General features: G+C 35.3%; 1 long non-coding RNA gene across 1 annotated transcript in view; it reads left to right on the forward strand.

Moving 5' to 3' along the window:
- The first annotated feature begins 680 nt into the window (after positions 1-680).
- LINC02426 (long intergenic non-protein coding RNA 2426) overlaps positions 681-22,732 on the forward strand; it is a 39,415-nt gene continuing 17,363 nt past the window's right edge. Inside the window, exons 1-2 of the long non-coding RNA NR_110089.1 lie at positions 681-1,117; positions 1,210-1,442. This is a non-coding gene — a long non-coding RNA (long intergenic non-protein coding RNA 2426). The remainder of the gene's footprint in view (positions 1,118-1,209; positions 1,443-22,732) is intronic.

The following is a 22,732-nucleotide window of genomic DNA, read 5'->3' on the forward strand; positions in this document are numbered from 1 at the left end:
AATAATAGGGTTTAAACACTTTGAAGAAGTTCTTTTTAAAAATGTTGTAGAGGTATAATTAAAGCCTAAAAAAGAAACATTAGAAGTAAAGTGATTGTGATCATTCTCTTTCCCCAGGTAAGATAATCTCCAATAATCATTTTATCCTTAACTAATAGTAACAACTTCTGAAGTTTAAACAATAACTCTTATTTAACCTGCAGTTTGAGAAATACATTTGAACTACCTAAAAATATCATAAATTCAACTTTTTCTAAAGTTCTCTAAATTGTGCATCTAATTGTCTCATTCTCACAATGGCAGTTTTGGTAGTTTTTACAATTAAGGGATAAAAGTTTTCAAGAACTTTTTGAAAGTTACATAGGAGACTTGGAATAAATATAAAAACAGAACAGAGCTGGTGATTCAGTAGCTATATTGTGGGATACCCTTCCAGCCAACACCTTTCTGGGAAGCATCCTCAGACCCAGACTGATGAAGGAGTGGGCAGCCTTCTGTGCAACTTGTGACTTTCCAGCTAGCACAGTTGATGAGAAGAGAAATGAGCATATATTTCAAGATAAGATAATCTTATTTTCTCTCTTGGAAATTTATATTTTGAGATTCAGGGACACGACTTGCTGGCATTGGTTCTTGGAATTATAAGGTATTGTTCAACTGCTGTTAGAACTAGTGTCATAGAAACCTAGATTCACCATGAGTCATCAAGGGACTTAAAGACAGACGTATCTGGAGAAAAAGAGAATAAAGCTGAACATGCAGCCTCCAGCCCCAGAGAAAGACTGAGAGAGAACAGGAGAATAGAACCTTATTAGACACCAGATGTATTTCCAGCAACTGGGTTCCTTGAAATTTCTCTGGTTCATAAGTGCTTCACAGACATAATGGGCTAGTAAATTAGGTCCTTATTTTGGAACAAATTGAGAGATATATTTGGAAGTATGACAGAGATCAAGCTGTCAGCTTTAATTGGAGATAAAAGCTAAGTTGGAGAAGGGCATACTGCTAATAATTCACCCCAGATTTGTCAGATTTACCTACCCCATCACAAGCCCAGTAAAAATCACAGTATAAAGGCAAAGATAATGCATCTCTCTGCAGTCAGGCCAATTTCAAAGTGAGAGAAGAAAGAAATAGGTGATCTATACATATGCAGTGTGTTCTTCCAAATCATCAAATAATAAGTGTTGCCTCTCTTTTTGACACTAGGTCTCCTCCAAGATATTCTTATGTAACTACTCTACTTGTCACCTGGACATCAGGACTTTGGAAAACTTCCCAAGTGTTTCCATTGTGCAGGCTGTCATGAGAATATCCTCTCTCGGGAAGACTTACTAGAGAAAGAAGTAGCCATCACCAATCTTTCAAGCCTTTTGCACTCTTACCTATTGGATTTGAACAACTTATGTAAGGTCATCTTGGGTTATGATTGTCCCTCTCAGGTAAGATGTTAGCATTTTTGTCAGGACTAGTTTGCTTCCAAACCCAAGAGGCTCCAATCAAAATACCAATGACTTCTCCCTGGATTATCTGTGATCCTCTAACTCATAAGGAATATCCCACAAAAAGCTTCACAGCCCATCAAAAAAAAAAAAAAAAAAAAACAACTAACTCTAAGGTTTTCTCAGTCCAAATTATATACCCTTTACTATTTCCCAGCTAAAATTATGTCAACCTGTATTTCATTATATCTCATCAAGTTTTCTGCAATAAGATTAAATAACTTTATGATATACCAATGATAAAATAACAGCAAAAATATACTCCATATTTGATATTAATCCCCTTCCATTATGAATTTCATGGAAAGATTTAAAAATGTTCAAAGAAATTTTACATTTAAGATATAAATATTTTATTTAAGTAAAATAATTTGAAGCCTAAAGAATTTAAAGTTCTTCTCAATTTCTTATTCCATTTCATCTCTGCAAGAAGTCTTGATACTTGAAGCTATAGTATGTTTCACCTGTTATAAAAGCTATGAATGCCATAGCACTAATAAAGTTGAATTTAGCCACAGTCTCTCATGTATCTCATTAAAAAAAGAAATCAAAGATTTCTGGCGGGGTACAGAGGCTCATGCCTGTAATCCCAGCGCTTTGGGAGGCTGAGGCAGATGGATCACCTGAGATTAGGAGTTCAAGACTAGCCTGGCCAACATGGGGAAATCTTGTCTCTACTAAAAATTAGAAAATTAGCTGCGCATGGGGGCGTGCGCCTGTAATCCCAGCTAGTCAGAAGACTGAGGCAAGAAAATCATTTGAACCTGGGAGGCAGAGGTTGCAGTGAGCTGAGATTATGCCACTGCACTCCAGCCTGGGTGACAGAGTGAGACTCCATCTCATAAAAAAAAAAAAAAATTCATGCCATAAAAAATCAAATAATTAATAAAATATATCATAGTTTCATAGCCCTGGACCATTTCTGACTAATTCAGATAACCAGCCAAACCCCAATACCTAGACATTTCTTCATAAAATTTTGTTACAATAACATACTTAGTATTGTCATTAACCAGTAGTTCTCATTCCTAAATGTGTACTATAATTGTCTTATATACTCTTAAAAAATACTAGTATCTTACCCAATAACAGTTAAATCAGCATCTTTGAATGAGGAATTTGTAAAGATGTAATTTTTAAATCTCTCAAGGTTTTTTTAATTATTTTTTAGTAGCCTTAAAAAAGGCAGTTCTAAGTTTACAGGCAGTTGAGTGGAAAGTACAGGGAGTTCCCATATTGCACCAGTGTGGTAACTTTGCTACATTGATGACACAATTTTGATGAATAATTATTAACTAAAGTCTATAGGTGACACATTCACTCTGTGTTGTACATTCCATGGGGCTTAACAAATATATGACATATATCCACCATTACTTACGATACAAAATAGTTTCACTGGCCTTAAATTCCCCTATGCTCCAACAATTCATTCTTTTTTCCCTCCACTGGAACCCCTGGCTGGCAACTACTGACGTTTTCTTTTGTTCTGTCTTCACAGTTTTGCCTTTTCCAGATGAATTACCTAGTTGAAATCATTCTGTATGTAGCCTTTTCAGGTTGGCTTCTTTCACTTAGCAGTATGTATCTCAGGTGTCTTCATGTCTTTTCATGGCTTGAAAGCTCATTTCTTCTTTTTTTTTTTTTTTTTGAGACGGAGTCTCGCTCTGTTGCCCAGGCTGGAGTGCAATGGCGCGATCTCGGCTCACTGCAAGCTCCGCCTCCCGGGTTCACGCCATTCTCCTGCCTCAGCCTCCCGAGTAGCTGGGACTACAGGTGCCCGCCACCATGCCCGGCTAATTTTTTGTATTTTTAGTAGAGATGGGGTTTCACAATGTTAGCCAGGATGGTCTCGATCTCCTGACCTTGTGATCCGCCCACCTCGGCCTCCCAAAGTGCTGGGATTACAGGCGTGAGCCATCGTGCCCGGCCCATTTCTTCTTATTACTGAATAATATTCCAGTGTCTGGATGAACCACAGTTTATTTATCCATTCACCTATTTAGGGACATCTTGGCCCAGGGTATTTTAATGTCCAGCCAGAGTTAACCTCTGCCATAGACCATAGCAGAAACTCAATAGCATCTGAAGGAAGAGGAAATGGGGAAAATCTTTATTTTAGTCATAGTGAGCTGTCAGGCAGTCAGTTGCAGTGCACAGTTAAACACTTGTGTGAAACACAATTGAGTGAAAGTTCTCATTAAGGGGTTAATATTTTTCCATAAGCACCTATCATTTTAGGGGGAAGCCACCTACTCAAACTGTCTTTTCATGCTGCCATTTGAGCTACTGCTGCCTTCTTGCAAAGTCTAGAAATTTACACTGGTAGCAGCTCCAGTCACCATATGCTGTTTTACTCCCTCCCTATCTCACCTCTAAATTTAATTTAATCCCTCTTAATTCCATTTATTTTTTGAGCTCTGTGCTTTCACACTTCCTTGTGAGCAAGCATTTTAGTCCTATGCTTTAATTCAGTCATTTAATAAGGGTAAGCTTAGAAATTTTTGAAATCTGTGGCACAGGAAAGAATTCCCCTAGTCCTCTCATTTATTTGAACTGGAGAATCACCTTCAGCATATTTCTAAGGTAAACTTGTTCTGTTTTTTTTTTTTTTCTTTTTCTGTAACTTGTGACCCCAGAAGCCTAATTTGTACCAGCTTTTGCCATATGCTCCTCAGCTTTTGAAAGTCCCAGATATTGTGAATCATTTGTTTTTGTTGTTTTTGTTTTCAAACAGCTTTACTGAAAATAATTCACGTGCCATACAACTTATTCATTTAGAGTATACCATCTAATATTTTTCAGTCTACTCACTGCTGTGCGGCCATCAGCACAATTAAATTTTAGAACATTTCAACCTCCTAAAAAAAAAAAAACCTTGTTCCCATTAGCAGTCAATCCCTATTCTATACCAACCCTAAGCAACTTACTAATATATTTCATTATTCTGGCCATTTAATACAAATATGTTCTTTTGTGATTAGATTCTTTAACTTAGCATAATGTTTTTAAGAGCAATTGTGCCATAGCATGAATTAATACTTCATTTCTTTTTATTGCCAAATAATATTCCCTTGTATGGATATGCCAGATTGTATTGACACACATTCATCAGTTGATAGACATTTGGGTTATTTCCACTCTTGGGCCACTATGAATAGTATTGTTATGAATAATCATAAACAAGGTTTTGTATGGATATATATTTTCATTTCATTTGCATATATACATTGGAATGGAATTGTGGGTCATATGATAACACTATGTTTAACTTTTGAGAAACTGCCAGACTGTTTTTCATAGTGATTGCACCATCTTACATTCCCACCAGCAGCATGTAAGTGTTCCAATTTCTCCATATCTTTGCTAAAGTTGCTGTTGTCATCTTTTTTATTATAGCCATCCAGTAAGGGTTAATAGCATCTTATTGTGGTTTTGATTTGATTTTCACTAATGATGTAGAACAACTTTTCATATGCTTATTGGTCACATGTATATCTTCTCAGAGAAAATACCTATTCAAATCCTATGACCATTTTAACATTGAGTTACTGTCTTCTTTATTGAATGGTAAAATTCATTTAAATATCTGGATACAAGTTATTTATCAGACATATGTTCTCTCATTCTGTGGTTTTTTTTCCCTTGAGGATATAATTTGAAGCACAAAAGTTTTAAAATAATATGGTTTATTTTGTTTTTTTTCCTGCTTATGTTTTCAGTGTAGTATCTAAGAAAGTTTCCTAACCAATGATCATTAGGATTTACTCCTAAATTTTTTCCCAGGAATTTATAGCTTAATCCCTTATATTTAAGTCTATGATCCATTCTGAGTTTTTATGTTTTTGTTTGTTTGTTTCTTTGTGTTTATTTGTTTTTTGTTTTGCATATGATTTGAGGTAAGGTTCCAACTTTATTCCTTTGAATGTGGTCATTCAGTTTCCCCAGCAGTGTTTGTTGAAATGACTATTTTTTCACTATTTAATTTTCTTGGTACATTTGTCAAAAATAAATTGACCATATGTTTGTAATTATGCCAGTACCACACTGTCTTGATTACTGTAGCTTTGCAGTAAGGGTTGAAATCAGGAAGTATGAGCCAAGATCGTTTGACTATTCTGGGTCTCTTGCATTTCCTCATGAATTTTAACTTCAATTTGTCAATTTCTTCTAAAAAGCCAGCAAGAATTTTGACAGGGATTACATTGAATATTTCCACCAATTTAGGAAGTATTGGCCATCTTAACATTATTAATCTTTCAATCCATAAACATGAGACGTCTTTCCATTTATTTAAGGTTTTTTTTAATATCTTTAAGCAATGTTCTGTATTTTCTAGGGCACAAATCTTATACACCCTTTTGTTATACTTAAATATTTTGTTCTTTTTTTATGTCATTATGGTTGGAAATGTTTTCTTAGTTTCAAATGCATAATTTTCATTGTTAACCTATAGAAATAATTGATTTTTAGAAATTGATCTTTTATTTTTCAGCCTTCACAGGTTTTTAGTGTAATCCTTACAATTTTCTGTATATAAAATAACATGATCTGCAAATAGAGATAGTTTTACCTCCTTCTTTCCAATTTAGATGCCTTTTATTCCCTCTTCTTGCCTAGATGCCTGGGCTGGAAACTCCAATACAATGTTAAATCAAGGTGATGAGGTTGAACATCTGTGTCTGGTTCTTGATCTTAGGGTGAAAATATTCATTCTTTCGCTATTAAGTATGAGGTTAACTGTGGATTTTTTGTAGATGGTCTTTACTAGGTAAAAATGAGTGTTTTATCATGAAATGTAGTTGTAGTACATCAAATGTTTTCGAAATAACTGTATAATATTTTGTCTTTTATTCTGTCAAAATGGCTTATTACATTAATTAATTTTGGATGTTAAATCAACCTGTGTTCCTAGGATAAATCCTACTTGTTCATGTTGTATAATCCTTTTAATATGTTATTGGATTTGGTTTGTTAGTATTTTGATGAGTATTTTTGCAAATATATTCATCAGCGATACTAGGCTGTAGTTTTTTTCTTCTAGTTTTAGTATCAGAGTAATATTGCCCTCATAGGATGAGTTGGAAACTGTTTCCAGCTCTTCTATTTGTTAAAAGAATTTGTGAAGTATTTATAGTAGTTTTTCTTTGAATGTTTGATAGATTTCACCAGGGAAAACATATGGTACTTGGCTTTTCTTTCAGGAAGTTTTAAAATGATCAATTCAATTTTTTGCTTATTATAGACCTATCTGGAATTTCTATTTATTCTAGAGTAAGAGTCAGTACTTTGTGTCTTCCAAGAAATTAATTCGTTTCATGCAACTCATCTTGTTGGTTTATAGTTGTTTGTAATAGCATTCCCTTATAATCTTTTTATTTCAATACAACAATAGTAACATTCCTTTTTCATTCTTGATTTTAGTAATTTCAGACTTCTCTTTGTTTTTTATTCTTGGTTAGTTCAGCTAAAATTTTGTCATTTTTTTTTTTATATTTTTAAAAGCATCAAATAGCTACTCCTGCTTTCCTTTCATTTATAGTTGTGTGATATATCTTCTTCCATCCTATTACTTTCAAACTATGTCTCTTCCAGACAAAGCATTATTGGATCACAGTCTTTAAAATCCAATTTAAAAGTTCTTGGGTTTTGGTGAGATTGTATAACCCACATGCATTTAATATTATTGATATGTTTAGAATTATATCTGCCATTTTGCCTTTTGTTTTCTATGTGTCACATGTCTTTTTTCTTTTTCTACTTTTTTTTATACTAAGCAGCTTATGTTTAATGTAGCAGTTTAATTTTTAGTAAATTTTAAATTATATTTTGAAATATTTATTAGTGGTTCTTCTAGGACTTACAATGTATGTCTTAACTTATGAAAGTCTAATTTAGATTTATACTGATTTTATACCCATAAAATATAGAAACTTTATTCCTATATAGCTACATTCCCTCCTTATATTTTGTGCTATTACTGTCATACATACTACTTCTATAAAGCTTACAAACTGAACAATACATTGTTATAATTATTACTTTATATTATCTTAATTTTTTAAAGAACTAAAGAAATAGAAGCAAATATATATGTATAGAGCTTGTTATATTAACATTCTTATTTACCCTTGCTGTTTCTTTTTATTCCGTCTAGTGGTGTAAGATAACACTTGGTATCATTTGCTTACTCCAATATAACTTTGTTTTCACCCAGTTCCTTTGAACGTTGATTGTCAAATACATGACATTTCTTTGTGTTACATGCCAAATTGTTGTATTATGCAATTGCTTTTTGAATCAGTCAAAAGAAGAAGAGACAAGAGCATGCAATTATGCTATATTTTTCAATTAGCTACATAATTACCTTTATGGGCATTCTTTGTTTTTCTTGTAGCTTTGAATTACTGTCTATTGTCACTTGCTTTCAACCTGAAGAAGTTCCTTTACTATTTATTTTAAGGCAGTTTACTGGCAACAAATTCTCTCAATTTTTGTTTCCCTGGGAATGTCTTATCTTACCCTCATTTTTGAAAGATAGTCTTGCTAGATATAAATTTATTTTTCACTGTTTTTACTTTTAGCTTTTTGAATATGTCATCCCACTACCTTCTGGGCCCTTCTTTCTGATAAGCTGCCAGCTTGATGTAATGATTCCTTTTACTCTTGCACCTTTCAAGATTTTCTCCTTGTCTTTAAGCATTTTGACTGTGATATGTCTGGGTGTTTTTCTCTTTGTACTTATTGTGCTTGGAGTTTGCTGAGGTTCTTGGCTCTGTACGTGAAGATATTTCATCAAATTTAATAAATCTTCAACTTTTATTTCCTTGCTTATTTATTTTGTCCCTTGCTTTCTTCTCCATTGCTAGTCCCATGAAATGTACGTTGGTGTGTTTAATGGTGTCCTACATTTCTCTGAGACTCTGTTAATTTTTATTTATCCTTTATTCTCTCTGTTCCAGATTGCCTGATCTCTATTGATCTGTCTTCAAATTCACTATTCTTTTCTTCTGCTAGCTCATTTCTACTCTGCTAATGAATTTTTCATTTTAGTTATTTTACTTTTAAACTATAGAATTTTAATTTGGTTATTTTTTTAATAGTATCTATCTCCTTATTGGTATTCTATACTTGATAAAATATTGTCATCATACCTTCCTTTAGTTATTTAAGCTTGATTTCTTTCTGTTCTTTGAAAGTATTTGTAATTGCTGCTTTGAAGTTTTTGTCTACTAAGCCCACTATCAGGGACACTTTAAAGACATATTCTATAGCCAATTTTTTCCTTATTTATAAGTCACACTTTCCTATTTCTTGGTATGTCGCATTATATTGTTGAAAACTGAACATTTCAGATAATCTATTTTACCAACCCTGGATACTGATAATTCCTGGAGTTGTATTTCTTATCTGGTCGTTTAAAAATTTGCTTAGTTGCTTGACTGAAATAGTTCTATGCTGTATGTTTCCCTTACAGGGAAAAGATTCTGATATCATTGCTCACATATTCCCCCTTGTTTTTTCTTTAAGCCTGGCCACCCTGGTCAGTATAGCCACTAATTTGTCAAATGTTACATGTAAATCTCTATAGCCAGTTAGATTTTTACTCTTTACCATTAATGTGTGTTTGTGGTTTGGAAATTGCTAGCACAGTTCAGGGATTTTACATGTCTCTGCATATTCAACCAGGAACAATAGCCTAGAGGGTCTCTCTCTGGCAACTCCCGAGAGTGTGCAGTCTTGGGCAAGCACATGTTTTTTGAGAATGCCAGGAATGACTATGATATTATTTAGAATACTGGTTAGGAGTCACCTCTGGGTCAGAGTAGCTCATTATTCTGTCAATGTTCAGTCAGAGGTTGTGTTTACGCCCATTTGCCAGTGAAGCTTCAGACATGTTGATTTGTGTGAGTCTTGGGAGATGTTTTTAAATATACGCCCACATGTAGATTTCATGTTTCTGTCTGGGTAAGCCTATTACACAGGCACAGGCCTCCTCTAGAATTGTCCACATCATAGAAGGGCTTTTATTTGCTGTCTTTTTCTCTGATTGTCTCTGGTAAGCTTCTGGCTACTCTGCCATTTTGTTTGTATCAGACCTACCAATGTCTAAGCTTTGGGACTCAAAATGATGTCATTGTGGTTTTTTCATTATCACAACTGCAAAAGATGGATTATTCCTTTCCTTCTGTTTTTTACTAATAATACCTACTCCTCCTTTGTGAGTGAAATGGCCCATTAAGGCTCGGATATGTAAAGCTACATTCAGAAATTTCTAATTTACAATTCCAGATACAATTTGAGAGGATGAGTTGAAGTTGACTGCTGAAAGAAATCAGGTACAACACAAATAAATGGAAAATCATTCCACGCTTATGGATTAGAAGAATCAATATTGTTAAAATGACCATACTGCCAAAAGCAATTTACAAATTTAACACTATTTCTCTCAAACTATCAAAGTCATTTTTTACAGAATTAGAAAAAAAAATATTCTAAAATGCATATGGAAACAAAAAAGAACCTGAATAGCCAAAGCAATTGTAAGCAAAACGAACAAAGCCGGAGGCATCAGTCTACCCAACTTCTCACTGTACTAAAAGGCTACAGTGACGAAAACAGCATTTTACTTGTACAACAGACACATAGACCAATGGAACAGAATCAAAAATTCAGAAATAAAGTCGCACACCCGCAACCATCTGATCTTCAACATGGCCGACAAATACAAGCAGTGGGAAAAGGACTCCTTAGTCATTAAGTGGTGCCGGGATAACTAGCTAACCATATGCAGAATAATGAAACTGGACCCCTACCTTTCACCATATACAAATTAAATATTTAAATGTAAGACCTCAAAATATAAAAATCCAAGAAGAAAACCTAGGAAATACCCTTCTCAACATCAACCTTGGCAAGGAATTTTTGGCTAAGTCCCCCAAAACAATTGCAACAGAAACAAAAATTTACAAGTTGGACTTAATTAAACTAAAGCGCTTCTGCACAGCAAAAGAACTTATCAAAAGTAAATAGACAACCTTACAGAATGGCAGTAAATATTTGCAATCTGTGCAATATTAGACAGAGGTCTAATATTAAGAATCTAAAAGTCACTTAAACAAACCACCAAACAAAAACCAAATAACCCCATTAAAAAGTTGGCAAAGGACACGAACAGACACTTCTCAAAAGGAGATACAAAAGTGTCCAGCAAACATGAAAAAATGCTTATCATCACTAATCATCAAAAAAATGCAAATCAAAACCACAATGAGATACCATCTCACACCAGTCACAATGGCTATTAATCTAAAATTAAATTTTAATCTAAAATGGCTCTCTGGTGCCATCTGGAAGTAAATTATCTTTGTGAATAAAAGCCTAAGCCTTAGTGTGTAAATTTGGCTGAGAAAGACAATTTAAGCAGGTGAAGAATAATTAATCATCTTAATGTCTAAAAACCTTTTCAAGAAATCCTGAGGTAGGCAGAATTCTAAGATGCCCTCCACCTCAGATTTCTAGGCCCTGGTTTACACACCTTCTCCCAGTTATTCAAACACTAATATATGTGTTGCTGTGAAAAGATTTTGCAGATGTAATTAAAATCTTTATTCAATTGGCTTAAATTAGGAAAATTATCCTAGGTGGGTCTGAGCTAATCAGGTAAATAATTAAAATAAGATGAAGTGCTAGAATTTCCTTTTTAAAGAATGAATAGGCCAGCCACGGTGGCTCATGCCTGTAATCCCAGCACTTTGGGAGGCCGAGGCGGGCAGATCACCTGAGGTCAGGAGGTCAGGACCAGCCTGGCCAACATGGTGAAACCCATCTCTACTAAAATACAAAATAAAAATTAGCCAGGCATAATGGCAGGTGCCTGTAATCCCAGCTACTCAGGAGGCTGAGACAGGAGAATCGCCTGAACCCGAGAGATGGTGTTGCTGTGAGCCGAGACTGCGCCACTGCACTCCAGCCTGGGAGCTGAACGAGACTCCGTCTCAAAAAAAAAAAAAAAAAAAAAATGAATAATATTTTATTGTATGTTCATGGCACATTTTCTGTATCCATTTACCTATCAATAGACACTTAGATTTTTTATCTTGGCAATAGTAAATAATAGTTCAATGAAGAAGAGAGTACTAATATCTCTTTAAGATCTTGACTTCAATATAACCAGAAGTGAGATGGCTGGAGCATATGGTAATTCTTTTATACAATATTTTGAGAAGCCACCATAGTGTTTTTAATAGTGGCTGTACCATTTTTATATTCCCATGAATAGCATACAAGGGTTCCAATTTCTCCACATCCTCACCAACACTTGTTATCTTTTGATTTTGACTAATAGTCATTTCAACAGTTGTAAAGTAATATTTCATTATGGTTTGAATTGTACTGGTACTTAGTGATGTTGAACATTTTTTTCATATATCTGTTGGTAATTTGTATGTCTTTGGAGAATTGTCTATTGAAGCCCTTTGTTTATTTTTTAGTTTAGTTGTGTGGGCTTTTTGTTTGTTTGGTTATTTTGTTCTTGCTGTTGAGTTATAGGAGATTCTTATATGTTTTGGATATTAATCCCTTACCAGATATATGGTTTTCCAACATCGTACCCATTGTGTAGGCTGTCTTTTTACTCTACTGAGTATTTCCTTTACTGTTAGAAGCTTTTTAGTTTGATATATTCCCACTTGTCTAATTTTATTTTATTGCTTGTGCTTTGGGGTTCATATCTAAATCATTGCCAATAAAAATGCCATAAAATTTTTCCCAAAGTTTTCTTCTAGGAGATTTATAGTTTCAGGTTTTACATTTAAGTCTTTAATCGACTTTGAATTAATTTTGGGGTATGGTGTAAGAAAAAGGTTCAGTTTCATTCTTTCCATTGTGGGTATTCACTTTTCCCAACAGCATGCAACATGAATGAACTTGGAGATCATTATGCTAAGTGAAATAAGTCAGTCACAGAAGGACAAATACTGCAAGGTTCCATGCATATGAAGTACCTAAAATAGTTGTACTCTCAGAAACAGAGAGTAGAGTGTTTTTTTCCAGGAGTTGGGGAAAGGGAAAATGAGGAATTGCTGTTTCACAGGTATATAGTTTAATATAGGCAAGATGAATCATTTCTAGAGATACACTGTCCAACATTTCGCTTATAATTAATGATACTGTATTGTGCACTTAAAAATTTGTTGTGTAGGTAGATCTCATGCTAAATGTTCTTATTACAATAAGTAAATACACAATTAAATACAATAAAATAAGATGAAGTATGGTACAGCCATTATGAACAACAGTATAGAGGTTTTTAAAAATAATAATAATAATAAAATTACCATATGACCCAGCAGTCTTGTCTTCTAGGTAAATATCCAAAGAAGATGAAATCGCTACCTTGTAAAGCTACCTGCATTTTCATGTTCATTGTATTATTCACAATAGCCTGGATATAGAAACAATCTAAATGCCCATTGACAGATGAATAAAGAAAAATGGTGTGTATGTGTGTGTGTCTGAGTGGGTCTGTGTGTAACAGGATATTATACAGCCTTTAAAAAGAAAGAGATTATGCCATTTGCCACAACATGAATGTACTTGGAGGACATTATACTAAGTGAAGTAAGCCAGACAGAGAAAGAAAAATATCACATAATCTCGCTTATATGTGGAATATATACATGAGCTCAAATACATGGAGATACAGAGGTAGATAGAAAATGAAAGTTTTTACCACAGGCTGGGCATGGGGAAAGAAATAGAGAGATGAAGATTGAAAGATACAAAATAGCAGGTATGTAGGATAAACAAATCTACAGATCTAATGTATAAAATGAGGACTAAAGTTAATAAAACAATTTCACTGGAGATTTTTGTTAAATAAATAGATTTTAACTTCTCTTGTCATTTAAAAACAGTAGTTATATGAGACGATAGATAGGTTAATCCACTTTACTATAGTAACCACCTTACTTTCTCTACATATTCCATAACATAATGTTATAAATCTCAAATATACACAATAACATTTATTTTAAAAAATAAAGTGAAGTATGAGAGACATGCTCTCCTGTTGGCCTAGAAGAAAATGGAACTTGTCATGAGTTCTACAGCTACAAAAAAATGAATTCTGCCAGAAAATTAAATGAATTTCAAGAGGTCCTCAAGTTGAAGATAAGAATGCAGCCCCAGATAACACTTTGATTCCTAACAGTTTTATTTCAGCTGTATGAGAACTGAGCAGAAAATCCAGCCAATCTATGCCATGACTATTGACCCATGGAAACTGTAAGATAGTAAATTTGTATTTTTTTTTTTGCTACTAAGCTTGTAGAAATATGTTACACAGCAATATAAAACTGATCCACTCTCTTTTCTATAATTGAGTCCTTGTTTCTGTGGTGCCAGATTGCTAAGGGCAGTATTGCAGTATTGTCTGCCTGCAGTTGTTAAGGCTGCTGCTGCAGTTCTACACATGTAAAAAGATCCCCTTGCCTGCATAAAAGTCACTCACCTATATACAAACTGCCACAAGCCTGTAACAAAGCCTTCATAAAGCAGGGTAAACTGGCACGCTCATAAGCCTATTTCCCCAGCCCTTATAAAAGTCGAAATTCAAAACAAACTCCCCAGCCTTCATAGTAAAAAAAACCAACTGCAAAACCAGAAACACAAACTTTAAGAAACATGTAAGACTGCTGAAAAATCAAAGTCAAAAGCTACGACAGGTCCCACTTGCTAACCTAGGGCTTAAAAGAGCCATCAAAGCCCAACCTGAAGATTTCCAGACTTTGGGACATGTAGAAATTCCCAGGCCTAATAATATAGTCAGATAACAGATTTATAAAAATCCTGAAGATCAGAATGTCCTTTTTAACCATGATTACTTTCATTTATAAGTGTGTGGCATGTGTGTTTGTCTGTGTCCCTATATGTGTGTGTGTGTGTAACTATGTTTTAGCAAACTCTTTAGGGGGAGAATAACCACAACATATGAAATCAGGCAATAACTTATAATCATGAGGCCAGATACCTTATTCACCATTTTAGTAGAACATCCATTAGATTTTAAATTGACCACTACAGAAACTCACTGTTAGGCTAAATAACATAATTAATATTTCCTCCAATGCCAAACATAGTCCTTTTGGCATGTCAGACATTTGATTTATGTTTTTTTAATTTTTTATTTCTATAGGCTTTTGGGGAACAGGTGGTATTTGGTTACATGAGCAGGTTCTTCAGTGGTGATTTGTGAGATTTTGGTGTTCCCATAACCCGAGCAGTATACACTGAACCCAATTTGTAGTCTTTTGTCCCTCACCTCCCTCCCATCCTTTTCCTGGAGTTCCCAAATCACATTGTATAATTCTTATGTTTTTGCATCCTCATAGCTTAGTTCTCAGTTATGAGTGAGAACATAGGATGTTTGGTTTTCCATTCCTGAGTTACTTCACTTCAAATAATAGTCTCCAGTTCCATCCAGGTTGCTGCAAATGCCATTAATTCATTCCTTTTTATGGCTGAGTAGTATTCTATTGTGTATATGTACGTGTGTGTGTGTGTGTGTGTGTGTGTGTGTGTGTGTGTGTGTGTGTATCCCAAAATTTTTTCATCCACTCATTGATTGATAGGCATTCAGGCTGGTTCCATATTTTTGCAATTGCAAATTGTGCTGCTATAAACAGGCATGTGCAAGTATCTTTTTCATGTAATGACTTATTTTCCTCTGAGTAGATACCCAGTGGTGGGATTGCTGGATCAAATGGTAGTTGTACTTTTAGTTCTTTAAGGAATCTCCACACAGTTTTCCATAGTCTGGGGTAAATACCCAAGATTCATTGTCTCATGACCATGGAAAACTAGGATGCAGACACAAAGAGTGAGGCTCAGAGCAGAAGTTTAATAGGCAAAAGAAAGAGAAAAGCTCTCTCTGCTGCAGAGAGAGAAGTACTAGAGAAATGGGTTGCCAATTCCAGGGTGAAATGCAGGTTTTATAAATGCTTGAGGAGGCGGTGTCTGATTTACATAGGGTACAAAAGATTGGTCAGACCAGGCATGCCATTTGCATAGTGTGCAAAAAGCTGGCCATCCCCACCCTAATTTTTTATTATGCAGATGGCTTCTCTGCCTGACAAGCACGATGTTGCCCATTCCTTTACTGCGCACGTGGTGACAAAGAAAAGGGAAGATGGAGCCTCCATATCGAACATGCCTGGCCATCAGGTAGCTCTTTTCTGTTAGCACAGCTGCTGGCATTCACCTGTGCAAGCTTCCAGCTTGCTTATCTACGTTTGCAGCTCGATTTTTCAGACTGCTCTTTGATAGAAAATAAATGATTCTGGAGCTACTTTTTTGTTAAAAGGGAAATTCCACTAAGGACTTTTTTACCCTCAGTCTCTGCCTAAATAATTTCTATCTCCTGTATCAGTTGTACTATTTACATTCCCACCAGCAGTGTAGAAGTGTTCCCTTTTCACCACAACCACACAAACATCTATTATTTTTTGTTTTTGATTGTGGCCATTCTTGCAGGAGTAAGGTGGTATCACATTGTGTTTTTGATTTGCATTCTGCTGATCATTGGTGATGTTGAGCATTTTTTATATGTTCATTTGTCATTTGTATATCTTCTTTTGAGAATTGTCTACTCATGCCCTTAGCCCACTTTTTGAAGGGATTTTTTTTTCTTGCTAATTTGTCTGAGTTCATTGTAGATTCTGGATATTAATCCTTTGTCAAATGTGTAGATTGTGAAGATTTTCTCCCACTCTGTGGGTTGTCTATTTACTCTGCTGGCTGTTCCTTTTGCTGTGCAAAGCTCTTTAGTTTAATTAAGTCCCACCTATATATCTTTGTTTTTGTTGCATTTGCTTTTAGGCTCTTGGTCATGAAGTCTTTGCCTAAGCCAATATGTAGAAGGATTTTTTGGATATTATCTTCTAGAATTTTTATAGTTTCAGGTCTTAGATGTAAGTTCTTAATCCATTTTGAGTTGATTTTTGTATAAGAGATGAGGGTCCAGTTTTACTCTCCTACTGTGGCTTGCTGATTATCCCCAGCACCATTTGTTGAATAGGGTGTCCTTTCTCCACTTTGTGTTTTTGTTTGCTTTGTCAAAGATCAGTTGGCTTTAATTATTTGCCTTTATTTCTGAGTTCTCTATTCTGTTCTATTGGTATAGGTGTCTATTTTTATACCAGTATCATGCTGTTTTGGTGACTATGTATAGTATAGTATATTGTACTTATAATATAGTTCATAGTTGGGTAATGTGATACCTCCAGATTTGTTCTTTTTGCTTAGTCTTGTTTTGACTATGTGGGTTGTTTTTGGTTCCAAAAAAAATTTAGGACTGTTATTTCTAGTTCTGTGACGAATGATTGTAGTATTTTGATGGGAATTGCACTGAATTTGTAGATTGTTTTTGGGAGTATGGTCATTTTCACAATATTGATTCTATCCATCCATGAGCATGGGATGTGTTTCCATTTGTTTATGTCATCTATGATTTCTTTCAACAGTGTTTAGTAGTTTTCCTTGTAGAGGTCTTTCACCTCCTGGGTTAGGTATATTCCCAAGTTTTTTTTTGTTTTTTGTTTTTTGTTTTTTGCAGCTATTGTAAAAGGGGTTGAGTTATTGATTTGATTCTCAGGTTGGTTGCTGTTGGTGTCTAGCAGAGCTACTGATTTGTGTACATTAATTTTGTATCCTGAAACTTTGCTGAATTCATTTATGAGTTCTAGGAGCTTTTTGGAGGAGTCTTTAGGGTTTTCTAGGTATACAATCCTATCATCAGCAAACAGCAACAGTTTGACTTCCTCTTAATCTATTTGGATGCCCTTTATTTTTTTCTCTTCTCTAATTGCAATGGCTAGAACTTCTAGTACTATGTTGATTAGAAGTGGTGAGAGGCCGGGTGTGGTGGCTCACGCCTGTAATCCCAGCACTTTGGGAGGCCGAGGCAGGCGGATCACGAGGTCAGGAGATCAAGACCATCCTGGCGAACACGGTGAAACCCCGTCTCTACTAAAAATACAAAAAATTAGCTGGGCGTGGTGGTGGATGCCTGTAGTCCCAGCTACTTGGGAGGCTGAGGCAGGAGAATGGCATGAACCCGGGAGGTGGGGCTTGCAGTGAGATGAGATTGCGCCACTGCACTCCAGCCTGGTGCCTGGGTGACAGAGCGAGACTCTGTCTCAAAAAAATGAGAGTAGGCATCCTTGTCTTGTTTCAGTTCTCAGAGGGAATGCTTTCAACTTTTCCCTGTTCAGTATTATTTTGGCTATGGGTTTGTCATAGATGGCTTACATTACCTTAAGCTATGTCCCTTCTATGCCAGTTTTGCTGGGGGTTCTAACCATTAATGGATGCTAGATTTTGTCAAACGTGTTTTCTGCACCTATTGAGATGATCGTGTGCTTTTTGTTTTTAATTCTGTTTATGTGGCATATCACATTTATTGACTTGCATATGTTAAACCATCCCTGCATCCTGGTATGAAACCCACTTCATCATGGTGCATTATCTTTTTGATATGTTGTTAATATCTATGGCTAAGAGACCTGAAGACGGTTCACATCAAATTACTCTGTGCACAACCTCCCCTCCAAGTACCAGCCCAGAGCCTGGTAGCCCTGCCATGTGGCTAGATCCAGAAGAGAAATAGGAACCACTACAGTTCAGCTCTCAGGAAGCCACATCTCTAGGAAAAGGGGGAGCATACTACATCAAGGTAGCACCCTGTGGGACAAAAGAATCTGAACAGCAGCCTTGAGCCCCAGATCTTCCCTATGACATAGCCTACCCAAAATGAGAAGAAACCAGAAAAACGATTCTGGTAATATGACAAAACAAGATTATTTAACAAATCCCCAAATCACACTAGCTCACCAGCAATGGATCCAGACCAAGAAGTAATCCCTGAATTGCCAGTAAAAGAATTCAGAAGGTTGATTATCAGCTAATCAAGGAGTCACCAGAGAAAGGTGAAGCCCAACTTAAGGAAATAAAAAAAAAATGGTACAAGATATGAGGGGAGAAATCTTCAGTGAAATAGGTAGCGTAAACAAAAAACTATCACAACTTCAGGAAACAAAGGACACACTTAGAGAAATGCAAAATGTACTGGAAAGTCTCAGCAATAGAATTGAACAAGCCAAAGAAAGAAATTCAGAGCTCGAAGACAAGTTTTCAAAATAACCCACATCAACAAAGACAAAGAAAAAAGAATAAATAAAAATGAACAAAGCCTCCAAGAAGTTTGGGAGTATGTTAAATGACTGAACATAAGAATAATTTTTTTTTTAATTTTTTTTTATTTTATTTTTTTTTTTTTTAATTTTTTTTTTTAATTGTTCCTAAGAAGAGAAATCTAAAAGCTTGGAAAACATATTTGGGGGAATAATTGAGGAAAACTTCCCCAGCCTTTCTAGAGATCTAGATATCCAAATACAAGAAGGTCAAAGAATACCTGAGAAATTCATTGTAAAAAGATAATCACCCAGGCACATAGTCATCAGGTTATCTAAAGTCAAGATGAAGGAAAGAAACTTAAGACCCATGAGGCAAAAACACCAGGTAATGTATGAAGGAAAACCTATAAGATTAACAGCAGGTATCTCAGCAGAAATGCCACAAACTAGAAGGGATATGAACCATACCTTCAGCCTCCTTAAAACAATTATCAGCCAGGAATTTAGTAGTCAGTGAAACTAAGCTTCATAAATGAAGAAAAGATGCAGTCTTTTTTAGACAAACAAATTCTGAGAGAATTTGACAGTATGAAGCAAGCACTACAAGAACTGCTAAAAGGAGCTCTACATCTTGAAACAAATCCTGGAAACACTTTACAACAGAACCTCTTTAAAGCATGAATCTCACAGACCTCTACAATCAAAATACAATAAACGAATTTAAACGAATTTTTTAAAAACCCAACGTATTCAAGCAACAAACAGCACAATGGGTGGGACAGGACCTCATATCTAAATACTAACATTGAATTAAATGGCCTAAATGCTCCACTTCAAAGATACAGAATTGAAGAATGGATAAGAATTCACCAACCAACTATCTGCTGCCTTCAAAAGACTCACCTAACACATAAGGACTCACATAAACTTAAGGTAAAAGGATAGAAAAAGACATTCCATGCGAATGGACACCAAAAGCAAGCAGGAATAGCTATTCTTATACCAGACAAAACAACCTATAATGAAACAGCAGCTTAAAAAGACAAAGAAGAATATTATATAATGATAAAAGGCCTTGTCCAACAGCAAAATATCACAATCCTCAATATATATGCACTTATCACTGGCACTCCCAAATTTATAAAACAATTACTACTAGACATAAGAAATGAGATAGACAGCAACACAATAATAGTGGGGGACTTCAATATTCCACTGACAGCACTAGACAGGTCATCAAGACAGAAAGTCAACAAGAAACAATGGACTTAAAGTATAACCTAGAACAAATGGACTTAATAGATATTTACAGAAAATTCTACCCAACAATCACAGAATATACATTCTATGCATCAGCACATGGAATATTCTCCAAGATAGACCATATGATAGGCCACAAAACAAGTCTCAATAAATTTAAGAAAATTGAAATTATATCAAGTACTCTCTCAGATCTCAGTGGAAGAAAATTGGAAACCAACTACAAAAGGAACCTTCAAAACCATACAAACACATGGAAATTAAACAGCCTGTTCCTGAATGATCATTGGGTCAACAATGAAATCAAGATGAAAATGTAAAAGTTCTTTGTACTGAACAATAATAGTGACACAACCTATCAAAACCTCTGGGACACAGCAAAGATGGTGTTAAGAGGAAAGTTCATAACCTTAAATGCCTTCATCAAAAAGTCTGAAAGATCACAAATAGACAATCTAAGGTCACACCACAAGAAACTAGAGAAACAAGAACAAACCAAATGCAAGCCCAGCAGAAGAAATTAAGTAACCAAGATCAGAGCAGAACTAAATAAAATTGAAACAAACAAAAAAAATAAAGAAGATAAATAAAACAAAAAGGTGGTAACCATTAGCAAGATCATTAGCAAGATTAACCAAGAAAAGAAGAAGATCCAAATAAGCTCAATTAGAAATGAAATGGAAGATATTACAACTGACACCACAGAAATACAAATGATAATTAAAGGCTACTGTGAACACCTTTATGCACATAAACTAGAAAACCAAGAGGAGATGGATAAATTCCTAGAAATATACAATCCTCCTAGCTTAAATCAGGAAGAGTTAGAAAGCCTGAACAGACCAATAACAAACAGAGATTAAAATTGTAATTTAAAAATTACCAAAAAAATAAGTCCAAGACAAGACAGATTCACAGCTGAATTCTACCAGAGATTTAAAGAAGAATTGGTACCAATCATACTGACACTATTTCACAAGACAGAGAAAGAGGGAACCCTCCCTAAATCATTCTATGAAGCCAGTATCACCCTAATACCAAAGCCAGGACAGGACATAACAAAAAAAGAAAACTACAGACCAATATCCCTGATGAATATAAATGCAAAAATTCTTAACATAATTTATGTTTTCACTTTAGTTAAATCACACCTATTCTTAAGGAAACCAACTGTAATATAATTTAGTCTGAAAATGATTAAGAAAAATGTTAAAATCTACATAGTTTTTGATGAAAATCAATATATTATAGTACAAGTTGTTAAATTTGTTAAAATGGTTATTATATTTCTTAAGTAAATATGCAAATATAATAGAAAAAAATCCTGATCATGACTGCATCAGTCAGGGTTCCATAGATGTATGGTAAGTAATCCATTTTCTCATTGAAGGAGTCAACTAAGCAAGTCCAGTAGCCATTGATCAGGCTATCTAACAGAAGCTGAAACTCATGGGTGTGGACTGAAGCTGATGTCCATAGGCAGAATTTCTTCTTATTGACTAAAACATTCTGAGGCAGTAATTAAGTACATGATCACACAGAACCTCACCCTCTATAGATATTTGATTAGGGATATTCAATAGCATTATTTTGCATGTTTCTTTTACCACATTATGCCATGAAGTGCTGGTGTCCTTTTTAGCACTGAAAACTGAATCTTTAGTTACTTTCAGTCTAATTAGATTAAAGAACTAATTCAGAAGTTTCATGCTTAAGAATCTATTTAGATTAAAGAACTAATTCAGAAGATTCATGCTTAAGAATCTGTTCTTTTGGAACCACTTTCAGCATGAAGATCTTTATTGCTGCTGTAACAAATTATCACAAACTAGTGGCTGAAAACAATACACATTGTGTTACACCCTACAGGTGTGTAGGTCAGAAATTGGTATTACTGGGCTAAAATCAAGGTGTCAGCAGAGATGTGTTCCTTGTCCTGCCATATACTCTAGGGGAGAATCTATTTCCTGGCTTATTCAGATGTTGCCAGTTTCAGTTCCATATGACTGTAAAACTACAGTCTCTTTTTCCTTGCTAGCTGTGTTGGCTAGAGGCTCTTCTTAACTCTTAGAGATTTCTCTTGGGTTCTTGAATGTAGACACCTACATCTCAGGACCAGTAAGTAACAGGACATTGAATCCACTTTATGCTACTATTTCTTTGCCTCACTTCCTGTCTTCCTCTTTTGCTTTCTAAGATTACCATTATTAATAGATTTCTTTCTTTCTTTCTTTCTTTTTTTTGTGAGCAACAGGGCTGTTTATTTCACCTGGGTGCAGGCGGGCTGAGTCTGAAAAGACAGTCAGCAAAAGGAGATAGGCGTGGGGCCGTTTTATAAGATTTGGGTAGGTAAAGGAAAATTACAGTCAAAGGGGGGTTGTTCTCTGGCGGGCAGGAGTGGAGGTCACAAGGTGCTCAGTAGGGGAGCTTTTGAGCCAGGATGAGCCAGGAGAAGGAATTTCACAAGATAATGTCATCAGTTAAGGCAGGAACAGGCCATTTTCACTTCTTTTGTGGTGGAATGTCATCGGTTAAGGCAGGAACCGGCCATCTGGATGTGTACGTGCAGGTCACAGGGGATATGATGGCTTAGCTTGGGCTCAGAGGCCTGACATTCCTGTCTTCTTATATTAATAAGAAAAATAAAATGAAATAGTGGTAAAGTTTTGGGATGGCGAAAATTTTTGGTGGTGGTATGGAGAGAGAATGGGCGATGTTTCTCAGGGCTGCTTCAAGCGGGATTAGGGGCAGTGTGGGAACCTAGAGTCGGAGATA

Source organism: Homo sapiens, chromosome 12, assembly GCF_000001405.40.
Source record: "Homo sapiens chromosome 12, GRCh38.p14 Primary Assembly".
Classification (NCBI taxonomy): Eukaryota; Metazoa; Chordata; class Mammalia; order Primates; family Hominidae; genus Homo; species Homo sapiens.